The sequence below is a fragment of the Homo sapiens genome, chromosome 17 (assembly GCF_000001405.40).
Source record: "Homo sapiens chromosome 17, GRCh38.p14 Primary Assembly".
NCBI lineage: Eukaryota > Metazoa > Chordata > Mammalia > Primates > Hominidae > Homo > Homo sapiens.
In genome coordinates this window covers 75,236,599-75,251,762 of record NC_000017.11, presented here as the reverse complement: position 1 = coordinate 75,251,762, position 15,164 = coordinate 75,236,599, and the positions used below count along the sequence as shown (strand labels likewise).

At 53.6% G+C, this 15,164-nt stretch overlaps 1 protein-coding gene across 6 annotated transcripts in view, besides 5 other annotated features; it reads left to right on the top strand.

Annotated features, from left to right (window-relative positions):
* Positions 1–15,164, top strand: part of GGA3 (golgi associated, gamma adaptin ear containing, ARF binding protein 3) — a 25,765-nt gene extending 10,601 nt beyond the window's left edge. For 2 of the 6 annotated variants that reach the window (NM_001172703.3, NM_138619.4), the window contains exons 2-17: positions 4,967–5,051; positions 5,179–5,254; positions 7,046–7,144; positions 8,193–8,316; positions 8,597–8,700; positions 8,852–8,932; positions 9,290–9,427; positions 10,067–10,148; positions 10,247–10,363; positions 10,706–10,951; positions 11,351–11,421; positions 11,655–11,974; positions 12,192–12,388; positions 12,680–12,849; positions 13,001–13,111; positions 13,374–15,164. In NM_001172703.3, coding sequence (NP_001166174.1) covers positions 7,061–7,144; positions 8,193–8,316; positions 8,597–8,700; positions 8,852–8,932; positions 9,290–9,427; positions 10,067–10,148; positions 10,247–10,363; positions 10,706–10,951; positions 11,351–11,421; positions 11,655–11,974; positions 12,192–12,388; positions 12,680–12,849; positions 13,001–13,111; positions 13,374–13,484 — 1,956 coding nt within the window. In that variant the 5' untranslated portion in view covers positions 4,967–5,051; positions 5,179–5,254; positions 7,046–7,060 and the 3' untranslated portion in view covers positions 13,485–15,164. Of the gene's footprint in view, positions 1–2,754; positions 2,924–4,966; positions 5,052–5,178; positions 5,255–7,045; positions 7,145–8,192; positions 8,317–8,596; positions 8,701–8,851; positions 8,933–9,289; positions 9,428–10,066; positions 10,149–10,246; positions 10,364–10,705; positions 10,952–11,350; positions 11,422–11,654; positions 11,975–12,191; positions 12,389–12,679; positions 12,850–13,000; positions 13,112–13,373 lie in introns of all 6 variants that reach the window. The other 4 variants (NM_001291641.2, NM_001172704.3, NM_014001.5 and 1 more) reach the window with 4 other exon arrangements.
* Positions 401–695: a silencer, noted in NCBI's record as "tiled region #8279; K562 Repressive non-DNase unmatched - State 7:EnhWF". NCBI's record gives its function as "represses a minimal TATA promoter and a strong SV40 promoter by Sharpr-MPRA in K562 cells {active_cell/tissue: K562}" and the evidence as "EXISTENCE:reporter gene assay evidence [ECO:0000049][PMID:27701403]".
* Positions 1,019–1,128: an enhancer, noted in NCBI's record as "active region_12740". NCBI's record gives its function as "activates an Ori minimal core promoter by ATAC-STARR-seq in GM12878 lymphoblastoid cells {active_cell/tissue: GM12878}" and the evidence as "EXISTENCE:reporter gene assay evidence [ECO:0000049][PMID:35858748]".
* Positions 1,139–1,238: an enhancer, noted in NCBI's record as "active region_12739". NCBI's record gives its function as "activates an Ori minimal core promoter by ATAC-STARR-seq in GM12878 lymphoblastoid cells {active_cell/tissue: GM12878}" and the evidence as "EXISTENCE:reporter gene assay evidence [ECO:0000049][PMID:35858748]".
* Positions 8,718–8,767: an enhancer, noted in NCBI's record as "active region_12738". NCBI's record gives its function as "activates an Ori minimal core promoter by ATAC-STARR-seq in GM12878 lymphoblastoid cells {active_cell/tissue: GM12878}" and the evidence as "EXISTENCE:reporter gene assay evidence [ECO:0000049][PMID:35858748]".
* Positions 10,821–11,115: a silencer, noted in NCBI's record as "tiled region #15557; HepG2 Repressive DNase unmatched - State 12:CtcfO". NCBI's record gives its function as "represses a minimal TATA promoter and a strong SV40 promoter by Sharpr-MPRA in HepG2 cells {active_cell/tissue: HepG2}" and the evidence as "EXISTENCE:reporter gene assay evidence [ECO:0000049][PMID:27701403]".

Sequence of the window (15,164 nt, the reverse complement as noted above, 5' to 3'; positions counted from 1 at the left end):
AAGAAATGGGGAAGTCAGGAAAAAGAAGTGATGCTTTTTTTTTTTTTTTTTTTTTTGAGAAGGAGTCTCACTCTAGTCGCCCAGGCTAGAGTGCAGTGGCACAATCTCAGCTCATTGCAACCTCTGCCGCCTGGGTTAAAGCGATTCTCCTGCCTCAGCCTCCCAAGTAGCTGGGATTACAGGCGCCTGCCACTTCGCCTGGCTAATTTTTGTAGTTTTAGTAGAGACAGGGTTTCACTATCTTAGCCAGGCTGGTCTTGAACTCCTGACCTCGCGATCCACCCACCTCAGCCTCTCAAAATGCTGGGATTGCGGGTGTGAGCCACCGTGCCTGGGCCATACATTTGTTTTTACACTCATTTCTGTACCAAATTAGCCCAATTATCTACTGTCTTGTTTTTTGAACTGATTTTTTTTTTTTTTCATGTATTGAACCAGGAGAGCACAGCCTCCTTGAGGGTAAAATCTGTGTCTGGAACTTTTTCTGTAGTCCCTCCAGGGTCTGGCATGCTGACATGCTGTTTACTTCATTGTCTGCGGGTGCTTAACAAAGACTTGGTGATTGACTAAGTTTGTGTTTCCATTCAGGACCCTAGTGAAGGTTGACCTTTATTCCCTTTCCAGCCCATGTTCTTGCTTCTGCTTGTTTGTAAGTCATTTGTTACGTAGATTTTTCTTTTTGGAGATGGAGCCTCACTCTGTGGCCCAGGCTGGAGTGCAATGGCCTGATCTCAGCTCACTGCAGCCTCTGCCTCCTGGGTTCAAGTGGTTCTCCTGCCTTAGCCTCCTGAGTAGCTGGGATCACAGGTGCGCGGAACCATGCCCAGCTAATTTTGTGTTTTTAGTAGAGATGGGGTTTCACCATGTTGGTCAGGCTGGTCTCGAACTCCTAACCTCACGCAGGTGATCCGCCTGCCTCGGCCTCCCAAAGTGCTGGGATTACAGGCGTGAGCCACCGTGCCCAGACCATATGTATATAATTTTTTTTTTTTTTTTTTTTGGAGATGGAGTCTCACTCTGTTGCCCAGGCTGGAGTGCAGTGGTACAATCATGGCTCACTGCAACCTCTGCCTCCTGGGTTCAAGCAGTTCTCCAGCCTCAGCCTTCAAGTAGCTGAGATTACAGGTGTGTGCTACCGTGCCTAGCTAATTTTAGTATTTTTAGTAGAGACAGGATTTCACCATGTTGAACAGGCTGGTCTTGAACTCCTGACCTCAAATGATCCACCTGCCTTGGCCTCCCAAAGTGCTGAGATTACGGGCGTGAGCCACCGCATCCAGCCTGCTATGTAGATCTTGTTTTCTCTGGAATGTTTGAGCCGTGCTGGAATGGGGTACCCAATGCTGCTGTTTCCATCCCCACATGACGTTTTAAGTCCCACGAGAGTAGGCTAGCGATGGAGTGAAGCTGAAAAATGAAAGCAGGAAATCCAGAGACACAGAAACAGATGAGGCTTTCAACAGAGACTCGAAAATAGACAGAAACCATGAGTCAGAGCAGAGCCCGGAGGGGCGGTTCGGGAAGGCAAGGTCTATAGGGGAAGCTCGGGTGTCACCTCTATGCCAGGTGAAGGAAATGTTGAGTGGGTGGGAGGCTGTGTGCATCTGCTGGGGAGGCAGTAGGCAGATGGAAAGATCAAGTCACCCAGAATTATCCCCAGAGGTTCCTTCCCGTTCCTGTGGGCGGGTGAGCTCTGCTTTCTGAGCTGCCCAGAGAGCTGGAGGAGATAGACATGGAACTGACCATTGCAGAAACTAGGGCTTTTTGTGCCCGTGAGTAGGCAAAGAGCTCCCTGTGGATTTGCCATAAAAAGGTCTATCAAGGTGGAAGAAAGTGAGATTCTAGAGAAATTAATACAAGTGAAAAGTGGGCAGGAGTGTTCTTGGAAGTAGAAATGCTGTTGGAAGTCTAATAGACTTGGGAAGAAGATAACGTATGGTGAATACCAGTTGCTTCGGGGGTTGGGGGGATCCACATTTTACTCTGTACTCAGAAGATGCTTTTCCCCGTGCAAAAAGTGAAAGTGAGTGGGCCAGTTTTTCTTCTGTCACAAGGTGTATGACTGTTCCCAAAATAATAGCCCTGGGGGATGGGGATTGCTTCTCAGACCATTCAATTTTTGTACCCTGTAGACTTTTGGTGTTATGTGAGAACTTTAAGCACCTGATAGGAATTAGTAACAGAGCTACGCTAATGCCTGAGGAAATTTCAGACAATTGGTGGGAGAGACTTGGCATTTGGAATGTGATAGCTGGTAGGCTACCATACAGTAATGCAGGATTGCCAGACATTTCTTTCCAAATGGCTACCCTTGATTACATTTAACTCCCCTCCTTTCAAGCTCCAGATTTTGAAGGACCTGTTAATTCTCTTTCAAGATTGAAGACAGACACCTTCTTTTTCTTCTAAAGAGGAACCTAGGCGGGGTGCGGTGGCTCCCGCCTGTAATCCCAGCACTTTGGGAGGCCAGGGCTGGTCTTGACCTCCTTACCTGAGGTCAGGAGGCCTGGCCACCATGGCGAAACCCCATCTCTACTAAAAATACAAAAAGTAGCCAGGCATAGTGGCGCATGCCTATAATCCCAGCTACTCGGGAGGCTGAGGCAGGAGAATAGCTCGAACCTGGGAGGTGGAGGTTGCAGTGAGCCTAGATCGCGCCACTGCACTCCAGCCTGGGTGACACAGCGAGACTCAATCTCAAAATAAATAAATAAATAAATATGAACCTAAACCATCAGAATCTTCCCCTTGCAGCCACAACAGAAACACTGCCGGGGAGGCCGAGCCCCGACCTGGGAAGCAGGGTGATACACTGGGTGCCACGGGCCTTCCCTCTGCCTGGCAGCTGTCGCTACTCAGATCCCTGCAGCCCTGTTGCCAGTGAAGGAGCTGGAGTCTCTGTTATGATGTGTTCATCCAGCTGGTGAGTTTTTTTTTTTTTGTTTTGTTTTTTTTGTTTTTGTTTTTGTTTTTTTTTTAGACAGAGTTTTCACTTGTTGCCCAGGCTGGAGTGCAATGGCACGATCTCGGCTCAAGGCAACCTCTGCCTCCCAGGTTCAAGCGATTTTCCTGCCTCAGCCTCCTGAGTAGCTGGGACTACAGGCATGTGCCACCATGCCCAGCTAATTCTGTATTTTTAGTAGTGATGGGGTTTCTCCATGTTGGTCAGGCTGGTCTTGAACTCCTGACCTCAGGTGATCCGCCTGCCTCGGCCTCCCAAAGTGTTGGGATTACAGGCGTGAGCCACTGCACCCGGCCCAGCTGGTGATTTTTTTTTTTTTTTTTTTTTTTTTTGAGACGGAGTCTCGCTGTCGCCCAGGCTGGAATGCAGTGGTGCGATCTCAGCTCACTGCAGACTCCACCCCCCGGGTTCGCGCCATTCTCCTGCCTCAGCCTACCGAGTAGCTGGGACTACAGGCGCCCGCCACCTTGCCCAGCTAACTTTTTGTATTTTTAGTAGAGAGGGGGTTTCACCGTGTTAACCAGGATGGTCTCGATCTCCTGACCTCGTGATCCGCCCGCCTCGGCCTCCCAAAGTGCTGGGATTACAGGCGTGAGCCACCACGCCCGGCCCCGTAGCTGGTGATTTTTAAAGTTAACAAAATACAATTATGAGAAATCAGAATTCAGAAAGTAATGACAGAGAGGGCCTTGTCGGGAGGGGCTCTGACACCCTGCTTTGGGCCCTCATAGAGATCTGGGGAGGGAGCAGGAGTGTTTTAAGGGGTGTGCGTCTTCAGCCTTCCATTTGTCTTCAGAACCCAAAGCCCTAAATTTAGCAAACAGCTGGAGAGTGCTTTCTGAAGAGGGAGGCTCTGGACCTGAATCAGAGATGGGAACCCATGTAACCACCCTCAGCTGGGCTCTTCAGTGTAATCACAGGTTTGGGAAGGTAACTGAGGAGAGCCCATGCCAAATATCAGAACTTTGCATTTGGTGCCTGGATTTTAAATCCCAGGGGCCCTCTGAGAACTCTAGTACTTGTGTTTGTGCTTGACCATGGAAGGCCATTAGAGCCTGGGGGTGCTAGATACTCAAGCTGCAATCCCAGGCAAGTTGCACGGTGACCAGGGCTTAGTAGGGGCTAAGTAAATGTTGTTGGCTTGACAATGATGAGCATTATGTGCAATTTCAAAAACACTTAAAGCATTATGGAAGGCTAGGTCTGGAAAAACCTTTTGACAGGTATGTGGAAAATATTCGCTGGGCGCGGTGACTCACGCCTGTAATCCCAGCACTTTGGGAGGCCAAGGCGGGCCGATCACCTGAGGTCGGGAGTTTGAGACCAGCCTGACCAACATGGAGAAACCCCGTCTCTACCAAAAATACAAAATTAGTTGGGCATGGTGGTATGCACCTGTAGTCCCAGCTACTTGGGAGGCTGAGGCAGGAGAATCACTTGAACCCGGGAGGCAGAGGCTGCAATGAGCCGAGATCGTGCCACTGTACTACAGCCTGGGCAACAAGAGCGAGACTCCATGTCAAAAAAAAAAAAAAAATTTGTGGTTACAAATATGTATTTTTTTATCTAGTTCAGTCTGATTTCAGTTTCCCCAAAAACCCTTCTTGACCATCTCCACTTGCTTAACACTGAGCTCATTTTTATATAGCTGGAGTTCCCTTTATTATCTTTACATGTTTCATGTAGGCATTTTTTTGGGAATATTTTAATTATTTGTGTTTGTCCTTTTGACCTTGATTCCACTCTAAGCTTCATGAGACAGAATTTGTTTTCTCTTTTATTTGTGACTTTCAAAATACTGGACAGAAAGCAGTATTTGTATTTGCTCTCCGACTGAATTTTTTTTTTTTCTGTCTCCTTGCTACTGACTGTTCTACTGAGGCTTCTCTATTAGAGAGTAAAGTTGAAAGCAAACTCTTAGTGCTTAAAACTTGCGAAGAAAACCTTCCATTGCATCCTCATTGCTCTTCCTAACACTTGTCCTCTTCTTTGTTGTGTTGCAAGATAAAGCCACCAATCCTTCCAACCGCCAGGAGGACTGGGAATACATAATTGGCTTCTGTGATCAGATCAACAAGGAGCTGGAAGGGTGAGTCTCAGCACTGTGGGGGCAGCTGAGAGGGAGCGGACTGGGAAGGGGAACAACCATGGCCAAGGAGGGCCAGCCAGGTAGCCCCAGGCTTAGTGCACTGGAGTGTGTTCTGCTTGTCCCCCAGGCCACAGATCGCCGTCCGACTGCTGGCCCACAAGATCCAGTCCCCACAGGAATGGGAGGCGCTCCAGGCCCTGACGGTAGGTCCTTCACTCTCCGGAGGTGGAAACCGCAGCCCTTCACCTGCCCACGCCATTCCTCGTGTCCCCATAGCGGTTCTTAGGGCTCCTGCCAAAAGCCAACAGAAAGTCCTTGATACAGACTAGATAGATCTCGAATCTGTTCAGCCAGCTGTTCCACAAATCTGTGTGCATTGTGCCAGGCCCTGAGGCCTCAGAGGTGACTGCAGTGCCGTCCCTGCCAGCATGGCCACATGGTTAGTGTGTGAGGCAGAGGGGCTAAGGAAAGCAGCCCAGAGTCAGGGCCCTGAGCCCCATGTGGCGCAAGAGAAGGCTTGGTGAAGAGATGCTGACAGGGCTGTGTTGATAGTTCAGAGCTGGCCAGCTGAAGAAAAGAGGGGTCGGTCCAGTTCATTCTGTAGTTAAACAATGCCAGTCACTAGCGAAGGTGTCGCACTGATGGCTGAGGCCCCTAGGGCAGATCCTGGTGTCTGTTCAGACTGAGGGAATTTAAGGTGTGGAATGGTGCCTGGCCCTCAGTGCCTCCACATGCTCCGAAAACAAAGAGCAGCCGAGATCTGAGGAATCCGGGGCTCTAGCCTGACTGCATTCAGGTCCTGGAAAGCGAAAAGAGGAAATATCATCTGGTTCACATGCACCCCTCAGTCATATTTGCTGTAGAACGAATTCCTTAAAACAGTGATTCTCAGCAGGGCACGGTGGCTTGTACCTATAGTCCCAGCACCCTGTGGGGCCTAGGCCGGGAGGATCGCTTAAGGGAATTCAAGACCAGCCTAGGCAACGTAGTGAGACATTGTCTCTACAAAAAATAAAAAAATCAGCCAGGCACGGTGGCACACACCTGTGGTCCCAGCTCCTCGGGAGGCTGAGGTTGAAGGATGGCTTGAGCCTGGGAAGTTGAGGCGAAAGTGAGTGGTGATCACACCGTTGCACTCTAGCCTGACCAACATAGCGAGATTCTGTGTCAAAAAACAAAAAAAAAACGTAACAAAACCCAGTGATTCTCAACAGGGCCCTCCAGGGAACATTTGGCAGTGTCTGGAAACATTTTTAGTTGTCACACATCGGGGTGGGGGTCCTCCTGGCATCAAGTAGGCAGAGGCCAGGGATGCTGTTCGACACCCTATAAAGTGCAGAGTGGCCCCCCACAACGAAGAATGACCAGCCCAAAATGTCAGCCAGGCCTCACCTGAGAAACCTTGCTTTAAAATGCAGAAGCCAAGAAAGAGAGCCTGGACAGTGCACTCCCCCTTAGAAACCGCAGTGCCAGGGACCACAGGCAGCACAGGAAAGCCAAAGCGTGAGTTAGGGAGATAAGCGGAGGGAGGAGAAATATCCTGTCATCTTTCTCACAGATAATAGGATTTAAACATCCCTCCCATTCCCTGCACAATTGTTGGTGAGCTTGTGGAAAAAACCCAGGACACCAAGTCAGAGAAACTTTGTCCCTGGACCTCACCTCCCTCATTGTAAAACACGAGGCCAGAATCTTTAAGGAAGGCACCTTCCAGGACTGGCATCCAGGCCTTCTTGGGGTCGGGGTCTCGGGGTTTCTTGCTTTAGTCCCTGCCCAGCTTCCCCAGCAGAGGTTTGCAGTTGGAGGGACATGGTCTGTGAGTGATCTCGTTGCTTAATTACACTGTCCCCGGGCAGTGCACACTGCTTTTCGTGATGAGCTCCTTCCTGTGGGCGTGTTTATTCAGTACTCTCTGGGTGCCAGGGATCTTGCCAGTGCCAGGTTCCAGCCCCGAGCACGCCCTCACTGAGCGCCTCTCCTCTGTGCGGCTACAGGTGCTGGAGGCATGCATGAAGAACTGTGGGAGGAGATTTCATAACGAAGTGGGGAAGTTCCGCTTTTTGAATGAGTTAATCAAAGTCGTCTCTCCAAAGGTCAGTCAGCGGCAGATTCCTCGCTTTTAGGGACTTCTTTTGTGTTCATTCCCATCTCCCATCATACTGGCTTTCACTGCCCATCCAACATCTCCAGGGAGCTGAGATTATTTGTGTCTTGTCCTTAGAGAGCTAGGCCCTGGAGGTAACGGGATGACCAAACAGGCCACAGGGACCGGCAGCTTTTTCTGAAGCGCCCTCAGCCCAAATCTGACAGGTGATGTGGTAGTGGCTGTGTGTTTGTCCAGGGTGAGGGCCCATGTAGTGTGGGACTCTAGGCACCTGGCACATGGCAGTTGTGGGTTTTGTGGGTTTTCTTGGCCTGTGTCACGTGGATACGGGGAGCTGGCCTCCGTCATTGCTCCGATGCTCAGCTGGCCGTGTTCTGTTGCACGCTGGTGTGGCGCAGCTCTGGGCCCCCACTTAAAGCAGAGGGAATACTTTACCATGCTAAAGACATTCTCATGGACACCCCCAAGATAAAATGCAGTTGTGTTTCTGGCAACTTGTGCGTGAAAATGCACTTTCCTCAGAACTCAAAATATCCACCCAACCATGGCCTGCACCACATGGGCATCAGGGTCACAAGGAAGCCTCTCTGTCTTGATGTCCCCAAGGTAGTAAGGAAAGGCAGAGAGCAGGGGTGAGCACCGAGGGCATGGTCTCTGGTGTCAGACTCAGGTTTCCATCCGGCCCTTACACCCTGGGCAAGTTAGATGATCCCAGGCGGCAAATGGGGACGCCACCCCTACTGACGTGGCTGCTGTGCAGATGAGTAAGGTCATGAATACACTTACAGGACACTTCCTGGACAGGAGGTGATGACCTCCTGGCCCCCTGCCTATCCACAGACTGTATCCAGATGGACACAGCCACACCACAGGGAGTCGTTCCCCTCCCCACGCTGTCTCACACACACTTGGACACCTGCAGATTTTGAGTAGGACCATAGCTGCTGAGCAGCCACGCCATTGCTGTGGAGGGAGCCTTACACTTTCTCTGCCTCCGAACTGCACTTACTAGGTCCTCATTTTCTTTTGCCATGTAGTACCTGGGGGACAGGGTGTCTGAGAAAGTGAAGACCAAGGTTATTGAGCTGCTGTACAGCTGGACCATGGCCCTGCCAGAAGAAGCAAAGATCAAAGACGCCTACCACATGCTGAAGAGACAGGGTACGTGTCTGCCTGCCCGCAGCCTCCAGGCAGCCCTCGAAGGCTGGCCCAGGCAAGGAGAGAAGGGAAGGTTTGGGATCCCCAGAGTCCCTCCTGAAGAGAACAGCATTTGTCCCCAGGCAAGGCTGAGTCGGAGTTGGATGGGATAAGGTGTAGCAGCCTGCCCTCCACCCTGCTACCCTTTGCAGGTCTTGATCACAGGGACGTGGCCCTTGGTGTATGAGGAGGGGTGACAAGGCAACCACAGCCTGAGTGCACGTGCTGCCATGTCCCCTTTCAGGCATAGTGCAGTCTGACCCACCAATTCCTGTGGATAGGACGCTGATCCCCTCTCCACCACCTCGTCCCAAAAACCCTGTTTTTGATGATGAGGAGAAGTCCAAGGTAAAGGACACCCTGGGCCTGGGATTTTCTCATACGAGAGTGGGTGGCAGCAGGGGAATGTGGTTTGCACTGTGCTGCGGGGAGCCTCTGGGGTTTCCCTGGGGTACGGGTGCTGCCTCTTCCCTTCACCTCTGATTTCCTCCTCTCTCAGCTTTTAGCCAAGCTGCTGAAAAGCAAAAACCCAGATGACCTGCAGGAGGCCAACAAGCTCATCAAGTCCATGGTGAAGGAAGTGAGTGGGCCCCGGTCCTTCAGGCACGGGGTGGAGGAGCCCATGGCCACACAGCAGAAGCCGCTTTGCCCCGGACACGGGCCTGTTTTGTTCTCCCCTGCTGCCAGCTGCCCTACCTGTGCCCCGGTGGCTGAGAGTGGGAGGAGGAGCACAATAGCTTCCGCGGGAGCACGGAAGAGAGGAGTGGGTTGGGAGCAGTGTTGTGAAAGCAGAAGTATAGACTGGGCCCCAGGCACCCCACACTGAAAGGAGCTTCCGAGCGTCTGTACTTGTGTTGTGGGGTAAGGTGTGACCTGGTGGAAGTGGAAAGACAGTCAAGTGACGCTCTCTTTCTCTTGAACTTCTTCACTGGGGCAGGACGAGGCACGGATCCAGAAGGTGACCAAGCGTCTGCACACGTTAGAGGAAGTTAACAACAACGTGAGACTGCTCAGTGAGATGCTGCTTCATTACAGCCAGGAGGACTCTTCGGACGGGGACAGAGAGCTGATGAAGGTGGGACCGCCGACGGCAAAGGCTGCCTCCCGGGGCTGCGCTGCCCTTCAGGAGCTCAGCCAGCATTTGCTGAGCACGTGCCTTGTCAGAGACACGGGCTGTGCACTTGGCAGTGTATTCATGACCTTACTCATCTGCACAGCAGCCACGTCAGTAGAGGGTGGCGTCCCCATTTGCCTCCTGGGATCAGCTGACTTGTCCAGGGTGTAAGGGCCAGATGGAAACCTGAGTCTGACTCCAGAGACCACACTCTCGGTGCTCACCCCTGCTCTCTCCCTTTCCTTACTACCTTGGGGACATCAAGACAGAGAGGCTTCCTTGTAACCCTGATGCCCATGTGGTGCAGGCCATGGTTGGGTGGATATTTTGAGTTCTGAGGAACATGCCAGCCTGGAAGGCAGGAGGGGACTGACTTCCCCTGACCCATCCTGGTGACTGCTACCTAGACAAACATCCTGGGTGATGTGGTGTGGTGGTGGTGGCTGGTGGCAAGAAGACGTGCGCTGTGATCCCAGCTTTGCTGGTAATTGACCGTGGCAATTGGCATATCCCGGTCATTTTCTGGGCATGAACCCTGAATGAATCAGATGATCTCTAAGGGCCTTTGTGGTTTGATTTTTATGTCCGAGTCTCTTTCAGGAGCTGTTTGATCAGTGTGAGAACAAGAGGCGGACTTTATTTAAACTCGCCAGTGAGACTGAGGACAATGATAACAGTTTGGGTGAGTGAAAGAGCGACGGTCAGGGATAAGCCAGGCATTTGGATATGTGGGTGGGAACTGTCACAACAGGAGTGAGAAGTCTCTCTTTCCTGCTCCAGGGGACATCCTGCAAGCCAGTGACAACCTCTCCCGGGTCATCAACTCTTACAAAACAATTATTGAAGGGCAGGTCATCAATGGCGAGGTGGCTACCTTAACCCTGCCTGACTCGGAAGGTGAGATGCTCTGGTCCCCAACTCTAGGCTCCTCCAGACCAGCCTCAGGCCCCTATCATGAAGCTGCGGGTGTAGGCTGGCCAGCGTGGTGGTGTTGCACAAGGCCCAAGGGAGTTCTTTGCCATTCCAAGCAATCCTCCGGCTTCCCGGAGGCCTGGAGATGTGGGTAGGAATTTCCCCACCTGCTTTCTCGGGCTTGCTTTGCAGCATCCCCTGGCAGAGATGCCGTTGGATTAGGCCAGAGGCTGTAGCAGTGACCTCTGTGCCTAGGGTGCTGCCTCCTGCCACACAGCCACTAGAAGACCCCTAATTATTCCTGTTCTGCTCTGTTGACCCATCCAGGAAACAGTCAGTGCAGTAACCAAGGCACGCTCATCGACCTTGCGGAGCTGGACACGACCAACAGTTTGTCCTCCGTGTTGGCCCCAGCACCTACTCCACCCTCCTCAGGCATCCCAATCCTCCCTCCACCACCCCAGGCCTCAGGACCTCCACGGAGCCGCTCCTCTAGCCAGGCCGAGGCCACCCTGGGGCCCAGCAGCACAAGCAACGCCCTCTCCTGGCTGGACGAGGAGCTACTCTGCTTGGGTGCGGCCCACAGGGGGCGTCAGGGGCATCCCCTGACAGGGCTCTGGGAGGAAGGGTGTGTGGAATTAGGAGCCCTGAGCGGGGCCCCAGTGTGACTGTTGGGGTGGGCAAAGAACCCTGAGTTGGAGGTACTCAGTGAAGTTCAGCGACCCTGAGGGCCCCAGGGCCATCCTCCCGGTGGACTCTGCCTCCTGCCCTGCACCCCGCCCCACAGGCCCCCCGCTTCTGCATCATGGACTGGAGCGCTCCATTCCCCTCTGGAGGCTGCCTGCAGAACAGCTTCTCCCGGCGCCTTCACCCATTGATGTCACTTGTCACCTGACCCCTCCTCAGGCAAGGCGGGGCTAGGGCTGCCTAGCTCAGAGCCTCTTCTCATCCTGTTTTCTTCTCTATTGTCAGGCCTCGCCGACCCAGCCCCTAATGTTCCTCCCAAAGAGTCAGCTGGGAACAGCCAGTGGCACCTGCTCCAGGTAGGGGCACAGGATCGGTGACAGCACTACTGTGCCAAGGACCTCCACTTTCCAGCGTCATGTCTCCTGGGCTGCAGTTAGCTGTCCTTCCCTCCAGAGCGTGCCAGCTGCAGCGGGGAACAATGAGTGCCTCCGGGGCTGTCTTCCGTGCAGTCCTTGGAGGGCTGCGCCCCGTTCCAGCGGCAGGCCCTCCCCACCCGCCCTCGGCTCACCACCCTTTCTGTTGTTCATAGAGGGAACAGTCCGACCTGGACTTCTTCAGCCCCAGGCCGGGGACCGCTGCCTGTGGCGCCTCCGATGCTCCTCTGCTCCAGCCCTCAGCCCCCTCCTCAAGCAGCTCCCAAGCTCCACTGCCGCCTCCCTTCCCAGCTCCTGTGGTCCCAGCCAGTGTTCCTGCCCCCAGTGCGGGCTCCTCCTTGTTTTCTACTGGAGTGGCCCCAGCCTTGGCCCCAAAAGTTGAGCCCGCAGTCCCTGGGCACCATGGCTTGGCGTTGGGCAACAGCGCGCTGCACCACCTGGATGCCCTCGATCAGCTTCTAGAAGAGGCCAAAGTGTAATGAGTGGGAGGAGATGTGGGGTTGCTGAGGGTTGGGCCTGAATGTGTCAGAACCAGAGCTAACTTTGAAGGGGTGGGGGTGCCTTGTAGTCCCATCAGTCAGGCTGGAAGGCAAGGGGTGGGCCTGGGTAAGAGCATGGTCAGGGGCCTTGGGTGAGAGTCCTGCAGCTCTGGCTGGCTCTCTGACGTGCTTTCCATCCTTCCCACCTCCCAGGACCTCGGGCTTGGTGAAACCCACTACCTCCCCTCTCATCCCCACCACCACCCCAGCCAGGCCCCTCCTGCCCTTCTCCACGGGGCCCGGCAGCCCGCTCTTCCAGCCACTGAGTTTCCAGTCCCAGGGCAGCCCCCCGAAGGGGCCTGAGCTCTCCCTGGCCAGCATCCACGTGCCCCTGGAATCGATCAAGCCTAGTAGGTGTTGGAGGATTGAGGTGGGTGGGGCGGTGGGGCCTATAGCCACGGAGCTGTAGGACATGCGACAGGGATGGATCCAGGCACTCTTTGCAGGGGGTCCCTTAAAGCCAGGCAGGCCTCCCTGCCTGCATTCTCAGTCTTAAGCTCCTCACTGAGCGCCTCTCCCAGATTCCGTTAGGAAGCACTGGACTCATCATGACCACGGAGTAGCCCTTTTCTCCTCACCGCCGGGGCTCTGTTGGGTGTCTCTGGTGCTGCTCCTCCCACACTCACGTCACGTTCTTACAGGCAGTGCCCTTCCTGTGACAGCCTACGATAAAAACGGCTTCCGCATCCTCTTCCACTTTGCCAAGGAGTGTCCCCCAGGACGACCTGACGTGCTGGTGGTGGTGGTGTCCATGCTGAACACGGCTCCCTTACCTGTCAAGAGCATCGTGCTGCAGGCTGCAGTGCCCAAGGTACCAGTGTCTCCCTGGGGCCAAAACGGCCTTATCTTGACCCTGTTGTGTAGAGGCCTTTGCAGCCAGCAGGTGGCAGTGTGTGTGTGCACTGCAGGTTCCATCTGGGGGCACCTACCAGTTCTCTTCAAAGGAGTTTCTCTCTCTTTAGTCAATGAAAGTGAAGTTGCAGCCACCTTCTGGGACAGAACTCTCTCCATTTAGCCCCATCCAGCCACCTGCAGCCATCACCCAGGTCATGTTGCTGGCCAATCCACTGAAGGTGAGCAGCAAAGAACCCAGGGGTCCCAGCCTGAGGCCCCAGCTGCCCCAGATTAGGACGTCAGGCCCACCACCTCCCAGCTGGAAGTGTTTTGACTGTAGGATTGACACATCCCTTTGCTGCCTTAGGTTAAGTGTCTGAGCATGGTTGGGGGTTGCGGGGAAAAGGGACCATTCCTCTAGCACAGAGAGGGTAGCAGAATAGAGGGCGTCCTGCCAAGGGGCCGCCTGGGCTGGATCTCACTTGCTGCCCTCTGTCACAGGAGAAGGTGCGGCTTCGGTATAAGCTGACCTTCGCCCTGGGGGAGCAGCTGAGCACAGAGGTGGGCGAGGTGGACCAGTTCCCTCCTGTGGAACAGTGGGGGAACCTATGACCCCAGAGGACGCTGTGATCTCCACCTTGAAGCCAGGCAGGCTGCCCTGAGACGAGGAGGGCTCTGGTCCCGTCACTCTCCATGCCCTGACAACAGTGCTTGTAGCTTTGATGTGGAACAGGGGCCCTGGGCATTTCTGCTGAGAACCAAACTGCTGCTGTGATAACCTCTCCTTTGGCCCCTAAAAGGACCTGTTTTTATCTACCTGTGTGACTTGAAGTGGCCATATGCTGTCAGGGGTGCGGAGTGGCCCCTGACTTCACTGCTGTCCCGGGAACATGGACCCCCAGGCTTGGCGTAGGTGTTTGCTTCCTTCTACTGGCATTCACTGAAGCCACTGGGGTGGGGGGTGGGGGGTGGGAGTCTCTAAAGAGAGACTGTCATGGGTCATTCCCCACAAGAGCCACATCCTCACACCTGACAGATGCACGGCCCAAGGGGCTGCAGCCCTGTTGCAATTCCATGCTTCCCCCGCCAACCAGCTCCTGCTGCCATCCCCAGGGAGGTGGCCCAGGAAGGTGCCTGGCCCAGAATAAGGAACTGGCATACTGCAAAGTCCCCAGCCCTGCCTCTGGTGGACAGCATCGTCCTGGAATGGCCACGGAGTGATGAGTTGTGTGCTTGTCCCTGGCAGTGGCAGGCTGTGTCCTATGGACATCTTGGCAGGACATGGAATTTGGCCTCATGACAGGCCCAACTAGGGATAGGAAGGAAAATGAAGAGAGCCAGTATTTCCCCTTCTCCAGAAGCAGGTACTCAGCTTTCTGGGAAAAGCGTGCCTCCAGCCGTGGGGACAGGCCATCCTACTGACTACCTCTTGCTTGGCATGAAATAAACTGCTATCCTCCCCTTGGAATCTACCGCCACTCTACATCCTACTGCTTTGGCCTCCCTCTCCTCTCACCAGATGGCATGTGGTGTGGCACCTGTGGCTGGACACAGGAGGCCTCAGGATCACAAATGTTACACTAGACATATGTCCTAATGTGCTGCCCAGAAACCTCAACTGTTCCCCAGCTACTGAGGGGCACTGTCAGCGAGATGTTGGGTCTGGAGGTGATGAGATCGGGCCACACTTGAGCTGAGTCACCAGACCCTATTGCTTCAACAGTGCTTGGCCCCCGCCAGCTTGTCCCAGCCACTCTAGCTGCTGGATGTGATCCTGGGACATGTACTCCAAGCCTCCGTCACAAAAAAAAAATCACCAGCTGCCATAGACACGGGGGAAGCTTGCGGAGCCCAGGTGAACAAGCTCAGCAATCGGACATCTCTGGGGAAAGGAAGGTGGCACAGACCATGTTCCCTGGTTCCTCCCTGCCCCTTGCCAGGCTTCCTTATTCCTTACTATGGGAAGAGGTCATATCCCTTCCCTGCCCCTCGCTGTCTTTAGCAAGCAGGTTTCACTGCTTCATTAGAAGAGGACAAGTCAAAAGTGAATCATTTTTCACTACTTAAGGAATAAATCCAAGAGCTTTCCAGAGACTGGCTGCTGCAGCCCTGGGAATGTCTGTGGAATTACTATGTGGAAATGGAACTTTGTGTTATGCTCTAGACATTACAGTTATTTGAGTGTTACTCGTTACTGTTGAGGTCAGTGCTTCGTGGCAAATGGCTGTACTGGATATCCCAGCTCTGCTGCCCTTGTTTTGCTGCATGTTAAATAAAACCATTTTCACTGTA